Raw genomic sequence first — 23,234 nt, 5'->3', positions numbered from 1 at the left:
ATTCAGTGGGAGAAACAATGGTCTTTTCAACAAATGATGCTGGGACAAATAGATATCCATGTGCAAAAGTGTGAAGTTGGATCCCTGTCTTATACCATATATGAAAATGAACTGAAAATGGATCATGGACCTAAATATAAGAGGTAAAACTGAAACTCTTAGAAGAAAATGTAAAAATAAATCTTCATGGCCTTGAGGTAGGTTTCTTGGATATGACATCAAAAGAAGCAACAAAAGAAAAAAATGGATAAATTGGACTTCTTCAAAATAAAAACTTTTGTGCTTCAGAGTACCTTCTCTCTGGTCTCTTTACTTTTATTTTCCCAGTATTCTCTTTTGCCTACTGAGAAGGCAGTGACAGTGCTATATAAATAGTGCCTTGCAAATTCTCAGTAAATATTTGTTGAAAAGGGAAAAATTAAAGGTATGTGATAGGTTTTACTTTATGAAAATTTCTAGCTTTAGAGCCTCCTTCATATTAATTGCATTTTTTTAATATTGAAAAATTATATCCTTGTTACATGTGTTCCCATTTCCCTTACTTTTTGTTTCATCTTGATTCTTTGGTTCTTTGCTACCTAGGCTTATATTGTTCTTTCTAATACTTCTAGTCTTTTCCTGTTTTCTGCTTTATTTCATACTTTTTTTTTTTTTTGAGAGGAGTCTTGCTCTGTTACCCAGGCTGGAGTGCAGTGATGCGACCTTGGCTCACTGCAACCTCTGCCTCCCAGGATCAAGCAATTCTCCTGCCTCAGCCTCCCAAGTAACTGGGATTACAGGCATGTGCCACCATGCCTGGCTATTTTTTGTATTTTTAGTAGAGATGGGGTTCCACCATGTTGGCCAAGCTGGTCTCAAACTCCTGACCTCAAGCGATCCACCTGCCTTGACCTCCCAAAGTGCTGGGATTACAGGCATGAGCCACCGTGCCTGGCCTGTTTCACACTTTTAAGTCTTTCCTACTCTCAGCAATATGTAATTGTTGGTCTCCCTTTCTTTTATACTCTGATTGTATGTCCATACATCTCTGAGATACTTTAAAAGGTATCAAGAAAGGAGGCTATTTGAATGGTACTAGAAAGTGGTTTGCTTCTCAGAAAATACGGATAAGTGAATTGTTTAGTCTATCTTCCTAATTTGGGTTCTGCACAGTTGATGAAATAGTATAAAGATTTATGTCCAACATATAGCCCATTAATGTTCATTTATAGAATAACATAACTACCAAGTAAAGAAATGCAACCACTGGCATGTTATATGAAGGGAGGAAATGGAAAGATTATCAGTTGTGTTGGAGACATGAGGATAGTGGGTAGTCAAAATATGATACTTTAAAAATATTTTTGATAATTCTTAGGACAAATGACTATAAAAGTAGGAGAAATAATTATATAGGTTCTCTTCCTTTGTAAGCATTTCTCTTTATAAAGTATGAGTTGTAAGTTAACCATTATAGTTTCTAATGTTCTTCTGACATTTAGTTTGTGTTTAGCATTTGCCTTTCCTTGTTTTGCCAAGTTCTCCAGTTTTGCCTGTATATATTTTTTTCATTTTGTACTTTGCCTCAATTTCTGAATGTACCTTCTATATTCTTTCTGTAGGTTTTGCTAATGATTTATTCATTTTATGTAACGATCTCATTTAGATATTTGCAGGATTGATGTCTTTAACTGTAATCCCTCCCTCCTTCCTCTTTTCCCCTCTCTCTCCTCCCTCTCCTTCTTAATTGTCTTCCTCTCCCTTTACTTTCCTTGTTTTCCTCTTCTGGTTGGAGCCATTTTCTGCCTGCCCATAATCTTTATTTTATCTTACTTTTTTGAGACAAGGTCTCACTCTGTCATCCAGGCTGGAGTGCAGTGGTGTGATCAAGGCATACTGCATCCTCTACCTCCTGGGTTCAAGCAATCCTTCCACCTCAGCCTTCCAAGTAGTTGGGACTATAGGTGTGTGCCACCATGCCTGGTTAATTTTTGTGTTTTTTGTAGAGACAGGGTTTCTCCATGTTGCCCAGGCTGGTCTTGAACCCTTGGGCTCAAGTGATCCGCCTGCCTCAGCCTCCCAAAGTACTGGGATTACAGGCATGAGCCACAGTGACCTGCCATAATCTTTATTTTGTTTGTTTGTTTGTTTTGAGACGGGGTTGCACTCTTGTTGCCCAGGCTGGAGTCCAATGGTGCAATCTTGGCTCACTGCAACCTCTGCCTTCCAGGTTCCAGGAATTCTCCTGCCTCAGCCTCCCAAGTAGCTGGGATTACAGGCATGTGCCACCACGCCCAGCTAATTTTGTATTTTTAGTAGAGATAGGGTTTCTCCATGTTGGTCAGGCTGGTCTTGAACTCCCAACCTCAGGTGATGCGCCTGCCTTGGCCTCCCAGAGTGCTGGGATTACAGACATGAGCCACCACACCCCGCATAATCTTTATTTTTAATGTGTATGTAACTACTAGGTATTCTTCAGTGCTATGATTACCTCTGCCTTCCTTTTCTTTTCCACTCTAGATTTTTAATTGCAATTCCTAATTCCCATGCCTTTTTTTCACCTAGTCATCCACACTTCTTTTTTTTTTTTTTTTTTTTTTTTTTTTTTGATACTGAGTCTCGCTCTGTCGCCCAGGCTGGAGTGCAGTGGCGCAATCTAGGTTCACTGCAAGCTCCGCCTCCCAGGTTCACGCCATTCTCCTGCCTCAGCCTCCCGAGTAGCTGGGACTACAGGCGCCTGCCACCACGCCCGGCTAATTTTTTGTATTTTTAGTAGAGACGGGGGTTTCACTGTGTTAGCCAGGATGGTCTCGATCTCCTGACCTCATGATCTGCCAGCCTCAGCCTCCCAAAGTGCTGGGATTACAGGCATGAGCCACCGTGCCTGGCCCTAGTCATCCACATTTCTTAAGCAGTTACTCTTTCCCCAACATTTTATTATAAAAAATTAAAAAAAAAATTTTTTTTAAAGATAGAGTTTCACTTTGCTTTCTAGGCTGGTCTCAAACTCCTGGGCTCAAGCAACTTGCCTGCCTCGGCCTCGCAGAGTGCTGGGATTACAGGTGTGAGCCACCATGCTTGGCTGATGATAAAAAATTTTAAGCATAGCCCGAGCATGGTGGCTTTCGTCTGTAATCCTAGCACTTTGGGAAGCTGAGGCAGGTGGATTGCTCGAGCCCAGGGGTTCAAGATGAGCCTGGCTAACATGGTGTAGCCCTGTGTCTACCAAAAATACAAAAATTCGCCAAATGCAGTGGTGTACGCCTGTTGTACCAGGTACTTGGGAGGCTGAGGCAGGAGAATCGCCTGAGCCTGGGAGGCCGAGGTTGCAGTGAGCCAAGGTCGCACTATTGCACTCCAGCCTGGGAGACAGAGTGGGAGACCCTGTCTCCAAAAAAAAACTTTTTTTAAACATACAGAAAAATTGAAAGAGTTGTGCTGTGAACACTCATGTACCTACCATCTGGATTTCATCATTTTATCTTTTGTTGTTGCAGTTTAAAGTAGCAGATCTCAGTACACTTCAACCCTAAATATTTTAGCATGCACATGATTGGCTAGAGTTTAATATTTGTGTAGAGGACTTTTTTCTTTTGAGGTAAAATTTACATAGAACAATATGCAAATATTTTAAATAGAACATTTAATGATCTCTATCTTCTGTTTCAAGTCACTTGTGTTCTACTAAGAGGACTAGCATAACCATTGTAAGGCTGCACTCCCAAAACTTGGCAGTTTTAGAAGTAAACTTTGAATACAAAGTACCTTAAAAATTTCTCCTTTTTTGTTTTTATTGTATACATGTGCTAGACAGCAAAATGATTATAGTCAAGGCATTTATTTTTTCCAAATTGTTCTATACTATAGCAGAAACTCTTAGCATGGTTTAATGCTATTAGACAGTGCATGCTGGAGGAAATCGAGGATATTTTTGTTTAGTTAAAAGTATGAAAAGGATTGCTTTTTTTTTGTCAATTTCACAAGCTAAATATGCAAAATAGGTAGTTAATTCAAAATGCTTTAAATATTTATGGAGTGCTTTATAGTTTATTAAGTGCTTGGATTTTTCTTAATTCATTTGAGCTTCACATTAACCATGTTATATCAGTGAAACTGATAAAGAGATGGAGGCTTAGAAAGTGGGGAGGGTAACACAGGAAGTGGTAGTGCAATCAGTTGAACTTGGATCTTCTCATTTTAAGTTTTGTCAAGTGGCAACAACTGCAGTCACACTAAGTCTTTAGTTCAGGGACAATTCCATATACTGGGATTTGTTTATGAATAACTATGAAATGTTTTCTTGTGCAGACTAGCGTTCACTGTAATGGCAGCTGTGATGCAAAGACATACTAGGACAATATTTTGAATTCTCCATGATGCAATACTTAGATATAAAAGAACTATCTATCAGGATCCAGATTAGGCACAGAACTTTCTAAGTGTCCTGTATTTAGAATGTGACATACTGATGCTACATGCACATTCTGTTCTTACAAAAGTGGACAATATCATGATTGAAGTGCCACTTTTACTGTGGCAAAATGCCTATTGTTTCAGACGTATATTATATGAGAAGCTCATTGGAGAAGACAAAGCCTTATTGAAATATCTGTCTGTTTTGGAAGGTTTATATTCTGCAAGATCCTGAAGATACTTTCCTTCTTTTCTGTAAGTAAAATATGTCATGACAAAACCATCTGGGGAAAATCAACTTGACACTATGTGGGTAAAGGACTTGACAAAAATACAGGCAGTTTTGTTCTTACCAATTGAGGAAAAGGTTTAGTTCTTTAAGTTGTTTGATACCACCAAGGAAACACTGGAAGGAGTTAATGTGCTCCTGAAGAAAAGGGTTCTTGAGGAAACCTTAGGGTAGAAATTTACTGCAAGTCCTTTAGGATCAGAAACAAAATTATTTAAGGTTTCCTTTGAGTCTACATTCTCAGTTTTGTCATTTTGTTGAAAAGTTTCCCACTGGCTATGTTAAGAATCGTATTCCTTTCAAGGTTTCCTCCATCACTGATACAGAATGACCTGGAGTTACTAGAAAATAGATTGCATGAGAACGGAAAAACCTTTCATCTTTCCTTCTTTTTTTTCTTTTTTGAGACAGGGTCTCCCTCTGTCACCCAGGCTGGAGTGCAGTGGTATTATCACGGCTCACCGTAACCTTGACCTCCCTTGGCTCACATAGTCCTCCCACCTCAGCCTCCCAAGTAGCTGGGACTACAGGTGTTCGTCAACATGTCTGGATAATTTTTTTTTTTTGTAAAGACAGAATTTCACCATGTTGCCTAGTCTGGTCATTTTTCTAATATTGGTAAGGAAATCTGCCTACAGGGTCCAAATAATACAGTTCTTTTAAAAGTACTAGGTTATCCTTTGAACTAGGTAGTCCTTGATCTGCATCATGTGAACTGAAAAAGGTAACTGGACCTGGCCAATCAGTCATATAAAAACCTAGGTGTTCTCTGTAGATATGACAAGAAGAATAAGGAAGATAGACAGGAAGTTCTTCCTATTTCCTGCTTATCCTGTGCTGCTTTTTCCTGTCATCTCTTTCTCAGGGCTGTCTATTCTGGAGCTTGTTGAAACCATTTTGTTTGGAAGCAATTTTAAGAAAGAATAATTTTTTACATAAATCTGTGGTCCAGGAATACTCTGGCAGGTCTAAGGCATAGGCATTGTTAGTTGAGAAGGAAAGAAAATGGATCATGGGGGTAGAGGAGAAAGAAAAGAAAGAAGTACATTCAAAAGAATGCTACCAGAAGTGGTTTCAGATTAGTGTCTCAGTAGTATGGCATATTATGTTTAATTTTGATGTGATCCAGTTGGGGACTAGTTTATTTTTTGAGCCTTAGATTGGAATGTTTTTATTTTTATTTATTTATTTTTTGAGATAGGGTCTCACTCTGTCACCCAGGCTGGAGTGCAGTGATCATGGCTCACTGCAGCGTTGACCTCCCAGGGTCAGTCAGTTCTTGCACCTCAGCCTCCCAAGTAGCTGGAACTACAGGCGTGTGCCACCATGCCTGGCTAATTTTTTTAAAATTTTTCTAGAGACAGGGTTTTGCCCAGGCTGGTCTCAAACTCCTATGCTCAAGCAGTTCTCCTGATTCAGCCTCCCAAAGTGCTGGGATTATTAGATGTGAGCCACCACGCCTGGTTTTAAAATGCATCTCTTTTTCCTTAATGCTATTGAAATTTTAGAGAATTAAGAAAAAATGCATCCATAATCCTATCTTCCTAAAAAAACCACTGTTAAACTATTGATATACTTCCAGCCAAATCTATTTTTATTCTCTAATGATTTTTATGTGTCTGGAATTAGAAAATGCTTACATTTTTGTTTCCTGCTTCTGTGAAATATCTTTCATTGTGTCCTTGGAAAGCTGACTGATGGACAAATATTGGATGATACCATAGTGCATTCACTAAATTGTCAATCTAGTCTGAAAAGGAACATTGCATTGCATGTTGCTTATTTTTAGTAGATGGCTAATATTTGCATGCACCACTACCATTTTTTTAAAAATTTCATTTCGGTCATGTGGCTCATGCCTGTAATCCTAGCACTTTGGAAGGCTGAGGCGGGCGGATCACCTGAGGTCAGGAGTTTGAGACCAGTCTGGCCAACATGGTGAAACCCCGTCTCTACTAAAATTACAAAATTAGCCAGGTATGGTGGCACACACATGTAGTCCCAGCTACTCGGGAGGCTGAGACAGGAGAATCACTTGAACCCGGGAGGCAAAGACTGCAGTGAGCCAAGATCATGTCACTGCAGTCCAGCCTGGGCAAGAAAGAGCGAGACTCCGTCTCAAAAAAAAAAAATTATTTCAATAGTTTTTGGAGTACAGATGGTTTTTGGTTATGTGGGTAAGTTCTTTAGTGGTGATTTCTGAGATTTTAGTGCACCTGTCACCCAAGCAGTTTATGGTGTACCCACTGTGTAGTATTTTACTCCTTACCCAGCCGTCCTTGCCCCCACCACCAAGTCCCCAAAGTCTATTATATCATTCTTATGCCTTTGTGTCTGTATATTTTAGCTCCCAATTATAAGTGAGATCATATGTTACTTCACTTACAGTAATGGCCTCCAGCTCCATCCAAGTCACTGCAAGAGACATTATTTCATTCATTTTTATGGCTGAGTAGTATTACATGGTGTATATATATCACATTTTCTTTATCTTCTTGTTGGTTGATGAGCACTTGTGTTTTTTCCGTATCTTTGCAATTGTGAATTGTTTTGCTATAAACGTGTGTGTGTATGTGTCTTTTTCATATAATAACTTCTTTTCCTTGGTAGAGACCTAGTAGTGGGATTGCTGAATCAAATGGTAGTTCTACTTTTAGTTCTTTAAGAAATCTTCCGGCCAGGCCTGGTGGCTCATGCCTGTAATCCCAGCACTTTGGGAGGCCGAGGCAGGCAGATCACCCGCCTCCTGAGGTCAGGAGTTCAAGACCAGCCTGGCCAACATGGCGAAACCCCGTTTCTACTAAAAATACATAAATTCGCTGGGCATGGTGGCATACGCCTGTAGTTCCAGCTACTTGGAAAGCTGAGGCAGGAGAATTGCTTGAACCCGGGAGGCGGAGGTTGCAGTGAGCTGAGATTGTACCACTGCACTCTAGCCTGAGTGACAGAGCGAGACTCCATCTCAACAAAAAAAAAAAAAGAAAAAAAAAAGAAATCTTCATATTGTTTTCCATAGTGGTTGTACTAGTTTACATTTCCACCAGCAATGTATACACTGTTACTATTAGGTAAGTGAATAATCTTTAAAATTATGCTGAAGATGATTAGAGAACTCTGAGAAAAGTTTTCTGTCCTTATCAGGAGTTGTTCTGATTTGTATCTGGGATATATCAGCTGCTACATTAAGAAGTACCTTTTGTCATGTTCCCTTTTTTTTTTTTGAGATGGAGTCTTGCTCTGTTGCCCAGGTTGGAGTGCAGTGGCACGATCTCGGTTCACTGCAATCTCCACCTCCTGGATTCAAGCGATTCTCCTCCCTCAGCCTCCCGAGTACCTGGGATTACAGACATGTGCCACCTCGCCCAGCTAATTTTTGTATTTTTAGTAGAGATGGGGTTTCGCCATGTTGGCCAGACTGGTCTTGAACTCCTGATCTCCTGTGATTTGCCCGCCTTGGCCTCCCAAAGTGTTGTATTACAGGCATGAGCCACCATGCCCAGCTGGTGTTTCCATTTTTAAATGAGTTCTTAATAATCATATCCAGATATATCTTCTCTAGTGAAGTAAAAGTAATAAACCATCATCAGTCTTTATTCTGGTGGACAGAATAACAAGCTAGCTCTGATGAATGAGAAATGGTGTCAGATAAGTTGGGAATGTCCTGAATCTTTATTGGAGAAAACTTTTTGGTGGAATAGTTCTGCTTTATTTAGCCGGAATCAACTAAATTCCAGTACATTAAAGTCACTTAGAATTTCAGTATAGCCAATTGTGTTAGGACAGACTTACTTGAGAATTTCTTTGTGATTCATACTGTAATGAAATTTTGCTGGTTTATTTTGTTAAAGCAAGTCAAAAATTTTTTAAGTTATGGAATATTTAGCTAAATGAGCTATACTTCTTAGCAATGTGTATAGAAGAAAAGAGGGCATGAAATTTGGGTTGCATTCTTTCATGGTAATCTTTAATCTCAAATACCATCTAACCAAAGGTTAGATGGTCTTTTTCATCCTTATTATTTAATCCTGGTGGATGGGTTTTTCTTCTTCCTTTTGTTAAAATAGGTCTAATAAGTAATAGTAACAGGTTCATAGATATATTCTTTTTTTTATATTTCGAGAAGGAGTTTCTCTCTTGTTGCCCAGGCTGGAGTGCAGTGGTGCAACCTCGGCTCACTGAAACCTCTGTCTCCCAGGTTCAAGCGATTCTCCTGCCCCAGCCTCCCAAGTAGCTGGGATTACAGGCATGCACCACCATGTCCTGCTAATTTTGTATTTTTAGTAGAGATGGGGTTTCACCATGTTGGTCAGGCTGGTCTTGAACTCCTGATCCCAGGTGATCCACCTGCTTTGGCCTTCCAAAGTGCTGGGATTACAGGCGTGAGCCACCGCGCCTGGCGATATATTCTTAATCATTTGACTATATCAGTTTTCTTCATCACCGTACCTTTAGCACCTCCTATAGTACCTGGTAACAACATGGACAGTGTTGGTTATTGTTAATTGCAGAGTAATAAACCTTCATTTTTTCTTTTATATGGTTGTGGGTTTTTTTTGTCTGTTTGTTTTTGTTTTTTTTTGAGGTGGAGTCTCTCTCTGTCACCCAGGCTGGAGTCCAGTGGCGTGATCTTGGCTGACTGCAACCTCCATCTCCTGGGTTTAGGTGACTCTTGTGCCTCAGCCACCATAGTAGCTGGGATTATAGGCATGCGCCACCATGCCTGGCTAATTTTTGAATTTTTAGTGGAGATGGGGTTTTACCATGTTGGCCAGGCTGGTCTCGAACTCCTGGCTTCAAGTGATCTGCCCACCTCAGCCTCCCCAAGTGCTGGGATTACAGGTGAGAGCCACCGTGCCTGACGTTGTCATGGTTTAATTGGAATTTTTCTTAAATTACACTAAAAAGCAAAGTTACTTTTGTAACTATAAGGCTTAGTAGTAAAACCTCTTGAACATTTTCTTCTAAAAGTTTAGGCTGAATAACTTCTGAAATGTTTTTCATTCTGGGATGGAAATTGGTTTTAGAAATAACTATAGTTATTTATTTATTTATTTATTTATTTTGAGACAGAGTCTTGCTCCGTCTCCCAAGCTGGAGTGCTGTGGCGCAATCTTGGCTCACTACAACCTCCGCCTCCTAGGTTCAAGTGATTTTCCTGCCTCAGCCTCTAGAGTAGCTGGGATTACAGACATGCACCACCCTGCTCGGCTAATTTTTGTATTTTTGATAGAGACAGGGTTTCACCATGTTGGCCAGGCTGCCCAGCTATAGTAATTTTAAATGGTTAAGTAGAATTTCTGCTGATGGCAGCTTTCTGAGGCTAATATTATAATACACACAGATTGCTGTGGGTAGCATAGTGAAAAGAAGTAGGAGTTTTAGTAATTAGTATAAAATTAAATATTCTAAAATTTATTGGAATAATTTGGTAGTGGGAAGAGGTATTTGGTGACTAATTTCTCTGTTAAAAGTGAATATATAAATGAGCATGAAAATTGCACAAAGAAATACCTTAAGTTATTATGTTTTTGTTTACTTCAGGGCTGAAAACACAGTTAAATCACTTTCAAAGTTAAAAGACTATTAAGAACACAAGATGGGGACTCCTGCTTCTGGAAGGAAAAGAACACCTGTGAAAGACCGATTTTCTGCAGAAGATGAAGCTTTGAGTAACATTGCCAGAGAGGTATGTTTGGTAAATCCCCTCTCAACACTGAGTTGCACAGATGTATTGTAAAAATGCCGATTTGACAGAGATATAGACGTTTACTCATTGAACTAGTTTCAGATGTTTATTATGAGCAAGATGTTATAGCTAGTCTCTAAAATAGTGTGTTAGAATAAAATATAGTTGGATATTATCAACAGAAATCAAATATAGAGATGAATCTCTGAACAACACATTTTATTTGAGACAGTAGAATTGTAATTTGGGCATACACACAGACTGCATTGGTCTTTGGTATGTCCAAAGAACAAAGAAAAGATTGAGGTTTTTATTAGAGAAATGTTATGCATTGTTTTGAAAGAAAATGCATTGGCACTAGCGAAGTTTTTGGGAGCTGGCATGCTCTGATTTGTGAGTGACTGTGGTAGGTAAAACTAGTCTTAGAGTTATAGCAGTTCGTTTCCGCAGCTACTAGGTAAAACTGATCTTAAGGTTATAGCAGGTCATTTCAGCAGCTGGCTTGCCAGATAATCCCTGGGCAGGTGCTTGTGCCCTAAGTGCTTTTCTTTTCCTTTTCTTCCTCCCTCATCTCATGACTGTAATTTAATTGGGTATGACAAGATAATTCCAATTTATATAATCAATTTTCACAATATCCAATGCATCCAAAATTAATTTTTCTTTATATTTTTATGGGTTACTTGAGTTCCATGTACTTGTTATAATGTATTGAAGTTTATAATTAATCTTTCGAATGTAAACTTAGGATAATTAGAATGTTGAAGATATGATGACTATATTATAGAAATACTCATTGGGCTATGCAGTTAATATGCTTCAGACGTGGTATGTAAATGTTGATGGAAACAATATTTCATGTCGGTTCAGATTCAGTGTTTTATTTTTTGAAACATTGCAGTGGAATTTTTATGTTTAATTCTGTTAGCTGGTAACAGAACTTCTGGGGCAATTTTGTTTCAGTTTGTTGTAACTCAGAAAAAAGAAAAAGGGAAGGGGCGTCACCTATTGAATCGCTGGCAACATTTCCTGCCGTATATTGGAAATTTAAGATGACTGCCAGCTGGGATTTCTTACTTAATTGCCAACTTTGTTTCAGACTCTATCTGCAACTGCAGACTGACCACAAACTAATATGGTATAAGAATTGCTTAGAGCATCATTAAATTATATTCTTTTGGTGAGAATTATTACCATATCACTTCCTCTTTGTTATTAGTAAATAACTTATTTAGGAATAGTGTATTTCCTTTTGACACATTACACACTTTTTTGATCCAGCTCATTGTTATGATTTTCCTTTTGGAAGCTGCTCAGTTAGCTTTTGAATTAGAAGTCAAATGCTGTAGGAGGCTATTTGTAGCAAAGGAAAGTTATTACCTAAAACCTGATAAGAAATTGTGATATTACTATAACAAAAATACATTAAAAATCAATGAGAGCGTTTGGGTTGATTCCATGTCTTTGCTGTTGTGAATAGTGCTCCAGTGAACGTACATGTGCAGGTATTTTTATAATAGAATGATTTATATTCCTTCAAGTAATGGGATTGCTGGGTCAAATGGTATTTCTGGTTCTAGGTCTTTGAGGAATCACCACACTGTCTTCTACAATGGTTGAACTAACTAACATTCTCACCAACAGTGTAGAAGTGCTCCTGTTTCTCCACAGCCTCGTCAGCATCTGTTGTTTCTTGACTTTTTAATAATCACCATTCTGACTGGCGTGAGATGGTTTCTCATTGTGGTTTTGATTTGCATTTCTCTAATCAGTGATGTTGAGCTTTTTTTCATGTTTGTTGGCTGCATACATTGCTTCTTTTGAGAAGTGTCTGTTCATGTCCTTTGCCCACTTTTTAATGGAGTTTTTTTTTTCTTGTAAATTTCTTTAAGTTCCTTGTAGATTCTGGATATTAGACCTTTGTCAAATGGATAGATTGCAAAAATTTTCTCCCATTTTGTAGCTTGTCTGTTCACTCTGATGATAGTTTCTTTTGCCTTACAGAAGCTCTTTAGTTTAATTAGATCCCATTTGTCAATTCTTACTTTTGTTGCGATTGCTTTTGAACATGAAATTTTTTGCCTGTGCTTATGTCCTTAATGACATTGCCTAGATTTTCTTCTAGGGTTTTTATAGTTTTGGGTTACATTTGAGTTACATCAACTCAAATGCCCATCAGTGATAGACTGGATAAAGAAAATGTGGTACATATACACCACGGAATATTGTGCAGCCATAAAAAGGAACTATATCATATCCTTTGCAGGGACATGGATGGAGCTGGAAGCCATTATCCTCAACAGACTAACACAGGAACAGAAAACCAAACACTGCATGTTCTCACTTATAAGTGGGAGCTGAACAATGAGAACACATGGACACAGGAAGAGGAACAACACACACTGGGGCCTGTGGAGAGGGAGCACAGTGGGGTGAGGGAGAGCATCAGGATAAATAGCTAATGCATGTGGGGCTAAATACCTAGGTGATAGGTTGATAGGTACAGCAAACCATCATGACACGTGTTTACCTATGTAACAAACCTGCAGGTCCTGCACATGTATCCCAGAACTTAAAAATCAGTGAGATATTTTTCAGTTAAAAGATTTAAAAATGAAAACGTAGATACGACTCTACAGTGAGTGATCTTAACTATTTGCACAAATGAAGCATTTTGGAAACAACATAATTGTAGTTGAAATTTGAAACTACCCAGAATGTTTCCTTTCAAAATTGGAGGGATTTACCCAGATTTCTGTAAGGGAGGAAAATGCCACCACCTTCTAGTCTCCTTTTGTGTTGTCACTAAGTATTTGAACTTTTTTTTTTAATGTGATGCTTTCTTTAAAAAATTGTATAGGATTCTAACATCCAGCACTTGCTGAGTGCTGTGTAGCAAACACTATTCTAAGCATTTTACATGCATTAATTCATTTAATCCTTATAAAATCTGCAGTCAGTTTTTTTATCTGCATTTTGCAGATGCGGAAACCATTGCACAGAAAAGTTAAGTAACTTCCCCAAGGTTACGTAGCTAGGAAATAGTAGAGCCAGGATTCAGACTCTGAAGCTTGGCTCCAGAGTCTGTGCATTTAACCTCTTACTATGCCAGATTGTTTCTCAATCAGTCTTCTCTAATTCCACCATTAATAGCTTATTTTTTGTTTTTCAGTAACTTTTCATGACTTTGAAAGCAGTTTCACATCTTGATTCTCACAAAAGTCTTGAGCTAAGTAGGATAGATATTATTACTAGCCATGTTTACAGCTGAGGAAACAGATGATGTTCAGATAGCTCTCTAAAATGTATCAGAAGCAAGGCTAACATTCACCCATTTGAAGTCATTGTTCATGTTCCAGGAGAGGTGGGCTTTGGAGACTTACAGGGATTTGGAGAAAAAAATTCAGATGGCACAATATCATTAACCTAAATTTGAAGACAGTACTAGCAACACCTTTTTTTCCCCCTCTCACAAGTATTTATATTAGTCCCCAAATTAGTATTTTTGGTTAAATGTATCATTGCAGATCCAAAGTTTTACTTTTTGTATACTGTTTATTGGGTTGTATAAAGTCCTCTCTCATTCCAAAAGAATATTTTTGCTGTCAAAAGGTCTCCGAGTAAATGGAAGATATAGTTGTTTGACATCAGAAAAAGATGAGTTAAAATTCCTAGAGTTTATCTACTACATGTTGGTGTTTATGCTCAGAAAAATTTAAATATTTGTCCTCAACTACCAAAAACTTAAAGTGGTTAAACATAATCATATTGTAAGATTTAATTAAAAATTTTTGTACTAAAGGGAAGTTGCTAGGAAATAGAGCAGTAATTTTTGTTAATTTGGAAACCATGGCAACACAGTAAATATTATGTCTCTTAATTTGTCTTTCAGTGTTTTTTTGGCATGAGTGTCATGGAAGAGTAAACAAAATTAAACACAGTGAACTCTGAGTCTTTGCTACCTGAGTTAGTCATTTTCTTTGAATGTTTTACTTTCTCAAATTTTGTATTTCAAATTTCTTGAAATTAAAGCATAGTCTGTAAAGGCCCAAATTGTACATTATCTCTCTTTTGTCCATGCCAGTTGCATAGGTTTTATGTTATGGAACATATGTGTGGCTGGCAATTCCAGACCTCATTGGCTCAGTTCAGTGCATTTCTGTCAAATTATGAATTGTAAATTTGCCTCCTTTAAAATAGCAGTTTTAGCACCATCAACACTGTGATACTAAAGTTTTAAAGCTAGAGGATTTTCTTCTTTTAAAGTCATTTGAGTGTGTTTTCGTGTACTACTGTAGTATTTTGTTTTGTTTTGTTTTTGAGATGAGGTCTTGCTAGGTTGCCCAAGCTGGACTCGAACTCCAAGGCTCAAGTGATTCTCCCACCTTGCCTCCCGAGTAGCTGGGATTACAGGCACCACTACCATGCCTGGCTTGTTTTTGAAAAACATTAAATACAGAAAGATTTTGGCAATAATATAAGTATCCATGAGTCCAACACCCAGCATTAACAAATGTTAACATGTTGTCACAGTTGTTTCAGATCTTTTCTTTAAAATGTTAGGAAGAAAGGAAGGGAGAAAGAGATATAAACCAAGTTTAAGGTCCTTTGTTTCATTCCCCAGGCCTATCCCTCTCCTTCCTCCTATTAAGGAATCAGTGTGATAAAATAAAAATGTGTCCTTCTTGTTCATGTATTAAAAGTTCTAATAACTTCTGAACCTGCCACCTGGAGTCGATGTAGCTATGAGGGGCCGTGTCTCACCACCACTGCCCAGGCCAGGCATGGTGTTGGGCGCCAGGCCTGCCTCACCTGTCTTGGGGTGCCCAGGGTAAAGGCAGGAGTAGCGCTGACACCTGTAAGCAAACTGAAGTGCGATGACAGTCTCGAAGGGTCTGGGACGTCAGCCATAGCATCCGGCCCCAGTCAGAGGGTTCTGTGAGAGACAAGTTGATTGTTAAAGAGGTTGCAGAGCTTGAGCTTATTTACCTTGTACATGTCAAGAGTATTTCCTGATCTAAAAAGCTTCATTGCTTTCTGCTGACTGTAACCCCAGACGAGGGTTACTACTAGGGTGGAAAATTTCAGCTCGAAACTGGACTTCCTGATGCATACAATGTGGTGCCTTCCAAAGTGAAATGCCTGACCAGGATCTGGTACCCTAACATCAGAGATAGGGGAAATATGTCTAAAGTTTACTGAGGACATTCGATTGACAGCACTGGCTGGGCTCCCACGAGATCATTAAAGGATGTTATTTGGAGATTAAATTATTTGTTTACTAATCTTCTGAATTTTGACGATCCACTGAATGTTGAAGCTGCAGAACATCATTTGTAGGACAAGGAGGACTTCTTGAATAAAGTCGATGACTACATCAAGTGTTAATGCCAGATGATAAAAGGAGAAGATTGCAGGCCCATGGACTGTGTGTTACAGTTTGTCTCTAATGTGAAAAAGCAGCAAGAGGCATTGCCTTCTCTCCCCTGTCCCCTGACTCTCCCTCTCATTCCCCTGGATTGTCCCAGTCCTGTGACCATGTTGTCCTGACGAAGACCATCTTCATGACTGCCCGTTGTAGATGGAGAATTCAACATAAAGACAGCAAGAAAACGTATTTAGGTTTCTAAAGAGTTATCTGCTTGTCTTATGTTTTAGGCTGTTCTTGCATTGCTATAAATGCCCAAGACTGGGTGATTTATAAAGAAAAGAGGTTTAATTGGCTTATGGTTTGGCAGGCTGTAGAAGCATGGCACTGGCATCTACTTGGCTTCTGGGGAGGCCTCAGGGAGCTTTTACTCATGGTGGAAGGTGAAGCAGGAGCAGGCACATCATATGGCGAGAGTGGAAACGAGAGCGCAAGGGGGACAGCCAGATCTCACGAGAACTTACTGTTGTGTTGAAAGCACCACGTCGTGAGGGATCCACCCCGATGACCCAAATACCTCCCACCAGGCCTCACCTCCAACACTGGGGATTACATCTCAACATGATATTTGGAAGAGACATCTAAACTATATCACCTTAACATGTTTACTTTTTTGAACTCGTACTGTTTAGGCTGTTGGTGATACTCTTGAGAAGTTGTAATGAACTCAAAATTGAGGCTGGAGCTTTCTTATTCTTTTCCCCAACAAAATTGGTTTTCTCCCGAAGTGATGCTCATGATGTGTTCAGTGTAACTTGCAGATTGGAATAAGAAACCTGCTACAAATTGTGATTGGATACAAATGCCCTTATCCTCTGTGAATGTTGGCCCTATCTACATGTTATGAAGTTTCCCAGAATGCATAAAGTCTTTCACTGTAGACATTTTTATTGAAATGCATATTTTATTTAAGTATATTTTGGACCAATTAAATTAAATTTTTACAATGTAATGCTTTATTTTTTGTGTTCTCATTTTGTATTTTGTATTTTCATTGTATAGGGCAAAGACGTTGGGTTGGCCGAGCATGGTAGCTCACGCTTGTAATTCTAGCACTTTGGGACCAGAGGCCGAGGTGGGCGGATTGTGTGAGCCCCGGAGTTGAGACCAGCTGGCTGGGGCAACATGGTGAAACCCTGTCTCTACAAAAAATACAAAAATTAGCCAGGCATGGTGACACGTGCTTGTAGTTCCAGCTACTCAGGAGGCTGAGGTGGGAGGATTGCCTGAGCCCAGGGAGGTTGAGGCTGTGATGAGCTGGGATCATGCCCTGGGCAACAGAGTGAGACCCTGTCTCAAAAAAAAAAAAAAAAAAAAGTAGGAAAAATGTTGGGTCAACCACCTATTGAAGAGAAATACAAAGAAACTATGAAAGGCATTATTCATTTTGTCCAAATGCAACAAGAATATGGCTCTGAAAAGTCATCTCTTGCTCTCAGGTCCACATGTGGCAAGGACATTTTGGAGCTCTTTGAAACTAGATCTGGATGATAAAAATAAAAACAAACAAACAAAAAGGCAGGAAGCCCATTCTCACATGCTGCCCAGAGGAAACTGGCTGGAGCTGGGACCTGCTGGGGTTGGTGTTCTTGCAGTGATCTTATGATCGTGAGCCAGTAGCTACTTAGAGTGCCAAACCCTGGCTGTCCTGAGGGACAGGATAGATACTCAGGAATCAGCCCAAACAATGTCTGATGCTACTGAGACTGTACCTGTGGCCGCCTTCTGCATTTGCTTTGACTCCGGGCCCTGCCTGGGGATGAGCCTCTTAGGCCTTAGAGGACCAGGATTCAGCAACAGCATATGCCATACTTGGCCAGATTAACACACATTGGAGGAAGAGCCCAGAAGAAAGACAGGTGGATTTACTCCAGCTTTTAAACATTTGAACCAATGAAATCAAATGCGAAATAAATGTTTGGTTTCAAAAAAAAGGTTTAATATGTATCACCATAAACAGCCTTGTTTAATGGGTTTTTGTATATTGCCTTCTAAGAGCTCTATAGACACCGGGGTGTAAAACAGCTAGCACTATGGTGGGAAACTGCCAGAATAGTAAGTAGTTCAGTATAGCTGGAGAGGGGCTAGGGAATGGGAGGAGGTGATGTTAGGGAGGAAATAGGGACCAATCATGAAAGGATTTGTGTGCTGAGGAATTTACATTTGATTTTCAAAGCTGTGGGGAGCCATTAAAGGGTAAATCCTTTTTCAGATTTGAATTACAGTATAATTGCTTTAGCCACCCAGTGGAGAGTGAGTGGTAGAAGGTAGAAGGCAGAAAACAGGAAGCTGTTATAGTTTTCCATTTATTTTTTGAAACAGGGTCTTGCTCTGTTGCCCAGGCTATAGTGCAGTGGTGCAATCTTAGCTCACTGCAACCTCTGCTTCTTGGGTTTTGGGACTACAGGCATGTACCACGACACCCAGCTAATTTTTGTATTTTTTGTAGAGATGGGGGTTTGCTTTGTTGCCTAGGCTGGTCACGAAGCTGTTGTAGTTATCTTAGTGAAAGATGATGAGAACCTAAAATAAGACAATGACAATAGGAATAAAGAGGAAGGTCTGGATAGAAGAAATAGTAAAGAGAATCTTGATGGGAGCAAAGTAGTTGAGACTTAGCAACTGAATATGGAGGGAGGATAGAAAAGAGGAAGGACCCTTATGATGAGTCTTTGTTTCATATTTTGGGTAATGGGGTAGTTGATGGGGAATATAAAAAAGAAGAGGAAGATTAAGGGAATGATTATAAATTAAATTAAGGTTGTATTAAGTCTGAGTTCTAGTGGGAGAGCCTCAGTTTTTTTTTTTTTTTGGAGACAGAATCTCATTCTGTCTCCCAGATTAGAGCACTGTGGCATGATCTTGCGCTACCACGCCCGGCTAATTTTTGTTTTTAGTAGAGACGGGGTTTTCCCATGTTGCCCAGGCTGGCCTTGAACTCCTGAGCTCAAGTCATCTGCCTGCCTCTCAAAGTGCTAGGACTACAGGCATGAGCCACTGTGTCCGGCCTCAATAAATAAATACATGAATGAATAAATAAATAAAGATGCTTCACAAATTTGTATATCATCCTTGCACAGAGGCCATGCTAATCTCTGTATCTTTCCAATTTTAGTATATGTGCTGCCATAGCGAGCACAGCTTCAATTTTTAATAGCAAGTTGGATCAGGATTGTGGGAGAAAATTCTAGCTTGGGCATAGAGATTTACAGACTAACAGTATGGCCCAGGAGAGAATATAGAATGAAAAGAGCAAGAGGTGAAGCTTGAAAACTTTGGTTATATTAACATTTAAGATGCTAGCAGGGAAAAATGTGCTTATGAAGGATGCTGAAGGAGAGAGATGAGAGAATAAAGAGGAAAACCAGGAGACACTAGTATTGGAGAAAGCTAAGAGATGAGAGTTTTAAGAAAGAATATGTGTTTAGTGATATTGAAAGTCCAGAAAAGACAGATGAGATAAGAATAGAAAAATTCTATTGGGTTTGGTAGTTAGAGGTCATTAGTGACTTTTGTGATGAACAATTTCAATAAGGTGATATGAGCAGAAGCCAGATTGCAGTCATTTGAAGAGAGTGAGAAGTGAAGAGGGAGGTGTGAGAAAGCTTAGCTGTAAAGAGAAGATAGGGTAGAATTGGACCAGGGTGAGATTTTTTGCTTGCCTTTTAAAGATCAGAGAGACTTTGAACCTAGTTATGATGAAGAGAGTGAACCAATAGAAGTAGAGAGCAAAGACCCAGAAGAGAGATCAGATAGTTGGGACAAAGTCCTGGGGAGGACATCATAAAATGGAGGGTGTGTATGTGTGTGAGTGTGTGTGACGGGGCTTGGGAGGGTTTGACTTTCAACAACAGAAGAGGCAGCTCTTCAGTAGAACCACAGGGAAAGTAAGAAAGAAGGGAAGACTGGGAAGTCTGTTAGTGGCTTTGGAGGGTGTGAAGCGAATGCCTTCTTCAGACCTTAAAATGCCTTCTGTCATGAAAACATTGGCACAGGAGGGGAAATACTAAAAGTGTCAGAACTGGAATAATGAAAGAAGTGCTGAACTGATAAGGTCTTGCAGAGAAACTTTTTCCATTGATAATTCAGATCATTTACATTATATATCTTGGAAATACCTTCCTGTTTTGTTGTTGTTTTTTAAATAGGCTACACATTGATTGGTACCCATTTTGTTTTTAAAAACCTTGTATGGTTCATTGTGCAGAGCCTCTCCTTCATGTGATTTTGCTTTCTGAGGTTTCAGTTACTTATGTTTGACCACAGTTTGAAAATATTAAATGGAAAATTTCAGAAATAAACAGTTTGTTTATTTTTGTTTAAATCGTGCAGTGTTCTGAGTAGCATGATTAAATCTCACATCATCCTGCACAGGACATAAATCATCCCTTTGTCTAGTGTATCCACACAGTGTATGCTACCTGCTAGATAGTCTCACAGGAGCCGGCTCTGTTATCAGGTTGACTGTCATGGTATCACATTGTTTGTGTTTGAGTAACCTTTAGTTTATTTAATAATGACCCCAAAGAGCAAGAGTGACTCTGGCAGTTTGGATATGCCAAAGAGAAGCCATAAAATTCTTTCTTTAAGTGAAAAGGTGAAAGTTCTCAACTTAGTAAGGAAAAAAATTGTGTGCTGAGGTTGCTAAGATCTGTGGTATGAACACATCTTCTATTCATGAAATTGTGAAGAAAGAAAAGAAAAATCTGTGTTAGTTTTCCTACTGCATCTCAAACCACAGAAGTTATAGCCAGTGTGTGTGATAAGTATATTATGATGGAAAAGACTAGATTTCTGAGTGGAAGACATGAACAGAAACATGTTCTGATTGATGACAGTGGGATAGGGTTTGGTACTATCTGCAGTTTCAGGCATCTCCGGGGGGACTTGGAACTTACTTGGATAAGGGGGAACTACTATATACTTAAAGTACCTACATCCTGAAGAAATACACTTATTTGTGGTTCATTAGATACAGTACTTAAATATACATACCCTTTTCCTCCTCTCAGATAGCAGTCTCAAGTGAAATTCAATTTATGGATTTTATTTTAGGGAAACAGCACTGCCTAGCCCATTGAATAGGTTCCTCCTACTTGTAGACCCATTGGATGGATGGAAAATTTAGAATACGATTGATTGGCCTCACATGAGTCTCTGATTTGGAATGCCACCATGAGCCACAACAAGTTTATTTTAGCCTGTTCCCCTCTGTTTATTTAACTGAAGCAGTAACAAAATCCAAATTTAAATATCAGAAAGTTTAAGAATGCTTTGGGTATTGGGCATCACAGAATATAGCTAATCACGTTTTACTTTGAGACATTTTTACCTCACTTGTTCCTTGTTTCAGGTAAATTGCTTCAGGTAAATTAATTCCACGATGGAATAGTACGGATGGGGATAGAGTTGAGATGGAGAAACTGAAGTTAGGATTAGAAAACTTGATGTATTATAAGTGAAAGTACAAAGAGCCTATTTGGAAGTAGAGGGAGTCTGTTGGAGTAGATGGAGAGGATGGATTCAAGGGATATTGTAAAGGAAGATTTGTTAAGGAAGTAGGAGGTCGTCAGACCTTGGGTTTGAACAAGAGTGACAAGATTCCATTAATGGAAACTGGAAAATAAGGAAGCAAAGCCTGTTGACTGGGGGAAAATGAGACTGATTTTATTCACTCTGGTTTTGGTGCTGACAAGATAGATGTTAGAAATGTAAGTGTTTATTTTGGTAGAGAAGTCAGAGCTTGAGATGCTAGATTTGAGTCATTCTCATTGGCTGGTAGTTGAAACTGGGAATAAAAAATGAGAGTAAAGGCTGTGTACAGTAAAAGGAGATTATCTACATTTGGTTATTAGATACTGTGTATGGTAAAAGGAGAAGATTATTTACCTATCTAGTTCTCTATTCAGAGAACTAGAATAGTATTATTTCATAGAAAAGAGAGAATCTGTGCTAAGTTGAAAATCCTAGGATAATTATCCAAAGTAAGTTTTTATGATTTGTCTAAGGATATGCAATTATACTTGGACTATAAAGATGTAAGTTGGTGGCAATGTGGTTAAGAGTGTGAACTGAAGTAAGATTCTTAGGATGTAGATCTCAGCTCCAGTATTTGCTTGTCTGGGGAAGGCAAGTTACTTAACCCTTCTGTACTTCAATGGGTTATTTTGTGGAAGAAAAGAAAATAAGGCCAGGTGTGGTGGCTCACACCTGTAGTCCCATCACTTTGGGAGGCCGAGGCATGCAGATTGCTTGAGTCCAGGAGTTCGAGACCAGCCTGGGCAACATGGTGAAACCTTGTCTCTACAAAAACAAAAACAAAAACAAAAATTGTTTGGATGTGGTGGTGTATGCCTATAGTCTCAGCTAATCAGGAGGCTGAGATGGGAAAGATCACTTGAGCCTGGGAGGTCAAGGCTGCAGTGAGCTGAGATCATGCCACTGCACTCTAGCTTGGGTGCCAGAGTGAGAGCCTGTCCCCGCCCCCCCCCCACCCCCCCACCCCCCCCAAAAAAGAAAGAAAATAAGGATCTATCCTTGCTAAGTAAGTGGTCAAACCATGGTAGATATATTATCTGAATAGTTTGGGTTTTCTATTGTGAGGTGATTATTCAGATAATTTAGTTTAATTTTATAAGTATCAAGAGCAAAGGTAAGATTTAGTACAGTTGTAATTGGATCCTGATATATTACTTAATCATTATTTCCCAAACTGTGTTTCTTGGAGCATGACCCTTGAAGTATCATTTAGGGTTTATTTAGTAATGTGGTCAAGTCTGAGAAATACTATATATTCTATCCTCTTCTTTGAGATTCATAATGCATATTATTAAGGACTCTGATTTTAAAAAATGTTTAACTTAGCATTTTCCAAACTTGTTATTAATAGGTTATAAGCTCCCCTTTATCCCATTTTATATATTAAGTTTTATGTATTAGAATTTTATATATTTTAGTATTTATTTAGCTTAGGCATTTTTGATGCATTCAGTCTCATCTATTTAAAAAATTTAAATTGAGATATAATTCACATACCATCAAAACTATTCACCATTTAAAAATATTCAGTAGTTTTTAATATATTCACAAAGATGTGCAACTGTCACCTACCTAATTGCATAACATTTCATCAGCCCAAAAAGAAACCTCATACCACTTAGCAGTCACTCCTCATCTTCCCCTTCCCCAGCCCCTGGCAACCAGTAATCTACTTTCTGTCTTTATGTTTTTGCCTATTCTGGACATTTCATATAAATTGAATCATGCAATATGTGACCTTTTGTGTCTGGCTTCTTTGACTTAGCAAAATGTTTTCAAGGTTCATTCATGTTGCATCCTGTATCAGTGTTCGATTTCTTTTTAAGGCTGAATAATATTCCATTGTATGGATAATCTCGCTGGTTTATTCGTTCATCAGTTGATGGATATTTGGGTTATTT

The 23,234-nt window shown here is 38.9% G+C and overlaps 1 protein-coding gene and 2 pseudogenes across 56 annotated transcripts in view, besides 1 other annotated feature; 2 read left to right on the top strand and 1 right to left on the bottom strand.

Annotated features, from left to right (window-relative positions):
• The window catches only part of LRRFIP2 (LRR binding FLII interacting protein 2), a 123,735-nt gene that overhangs the window by 17,100 nt on the left and 83,401 nt on the right, over positions 1-23,234 (top strand). For 46 of the 55 annotated variants that reach the window (NM_017724.2, NM_001348308.1, NM_001348304.1 and 43 more), the window contains one exon: positions 10,223-10,367. In NM_017724.2, the coding sequence (NP_060194.1) occupies positions 10,278-10,367 (90 nt within the window). In that variant the 5' untranslated portion in view covers positions 10,223-10,277. Of the gene's footprint in view, positions 1-4,536; positions 4,648-10,222; positions 10,368-23,234 lie in introns of all 55 variants that reach the window. The other 9 variants (XM_017007476.2, XM_047449205.1, XM_047449207.1 and 6 more) reach the window with 2 other exon arrangements.
• UBE2FP1 (UBE2F pseudogene 1) lies at positions 15,079-17,716 on the top strand (annotated as a pseudogene). The gene has a single exon (NR_168330.1). The product of NR_168330.1 is annotated as a UBE2F pseudogene 1 (transcript).
• Positions 18,831-18,934, bottom strand: RNU6-1301P (RNA, U6 small nuclear 1301, pseudogene; annotated as a pseudogene).
• Positions 21,986-22,139: a silencer, noted in NCBI's record as "fragment chr3:37178613-37178766 (GRCh37/hg19 assembly coordinates)". NCBI's record gives its function as "represses an EF-1alpha promoter that drives an FKBP-Casp9 reporter gene in an ReSE screen in HepG2 liver carcinoma cells {active_cell/tissue: HepG2}" and the evidence as "EXISTENCE:reporter gene assay evidence [ECO:0000049][PMID:32094911]".

Source organism: Homo sapiens, chromosome 3 (genome assembly GCF_000001405.40).
Source record: "Homo sapiens chromosome 3, GRCh38.p14 Primary Assembly".
NCBI classification, from domain to species: Eukaryota; Metazoa; Chordata; class Mammalia; order Primates; family Hominidae; genus Homo; species Homo sapiens.
The sequence above is the reverse complement of the archived record's forward strand: the minus strand, read 5'-3'. Positions and strand labels throughout refer to the sequence as shown.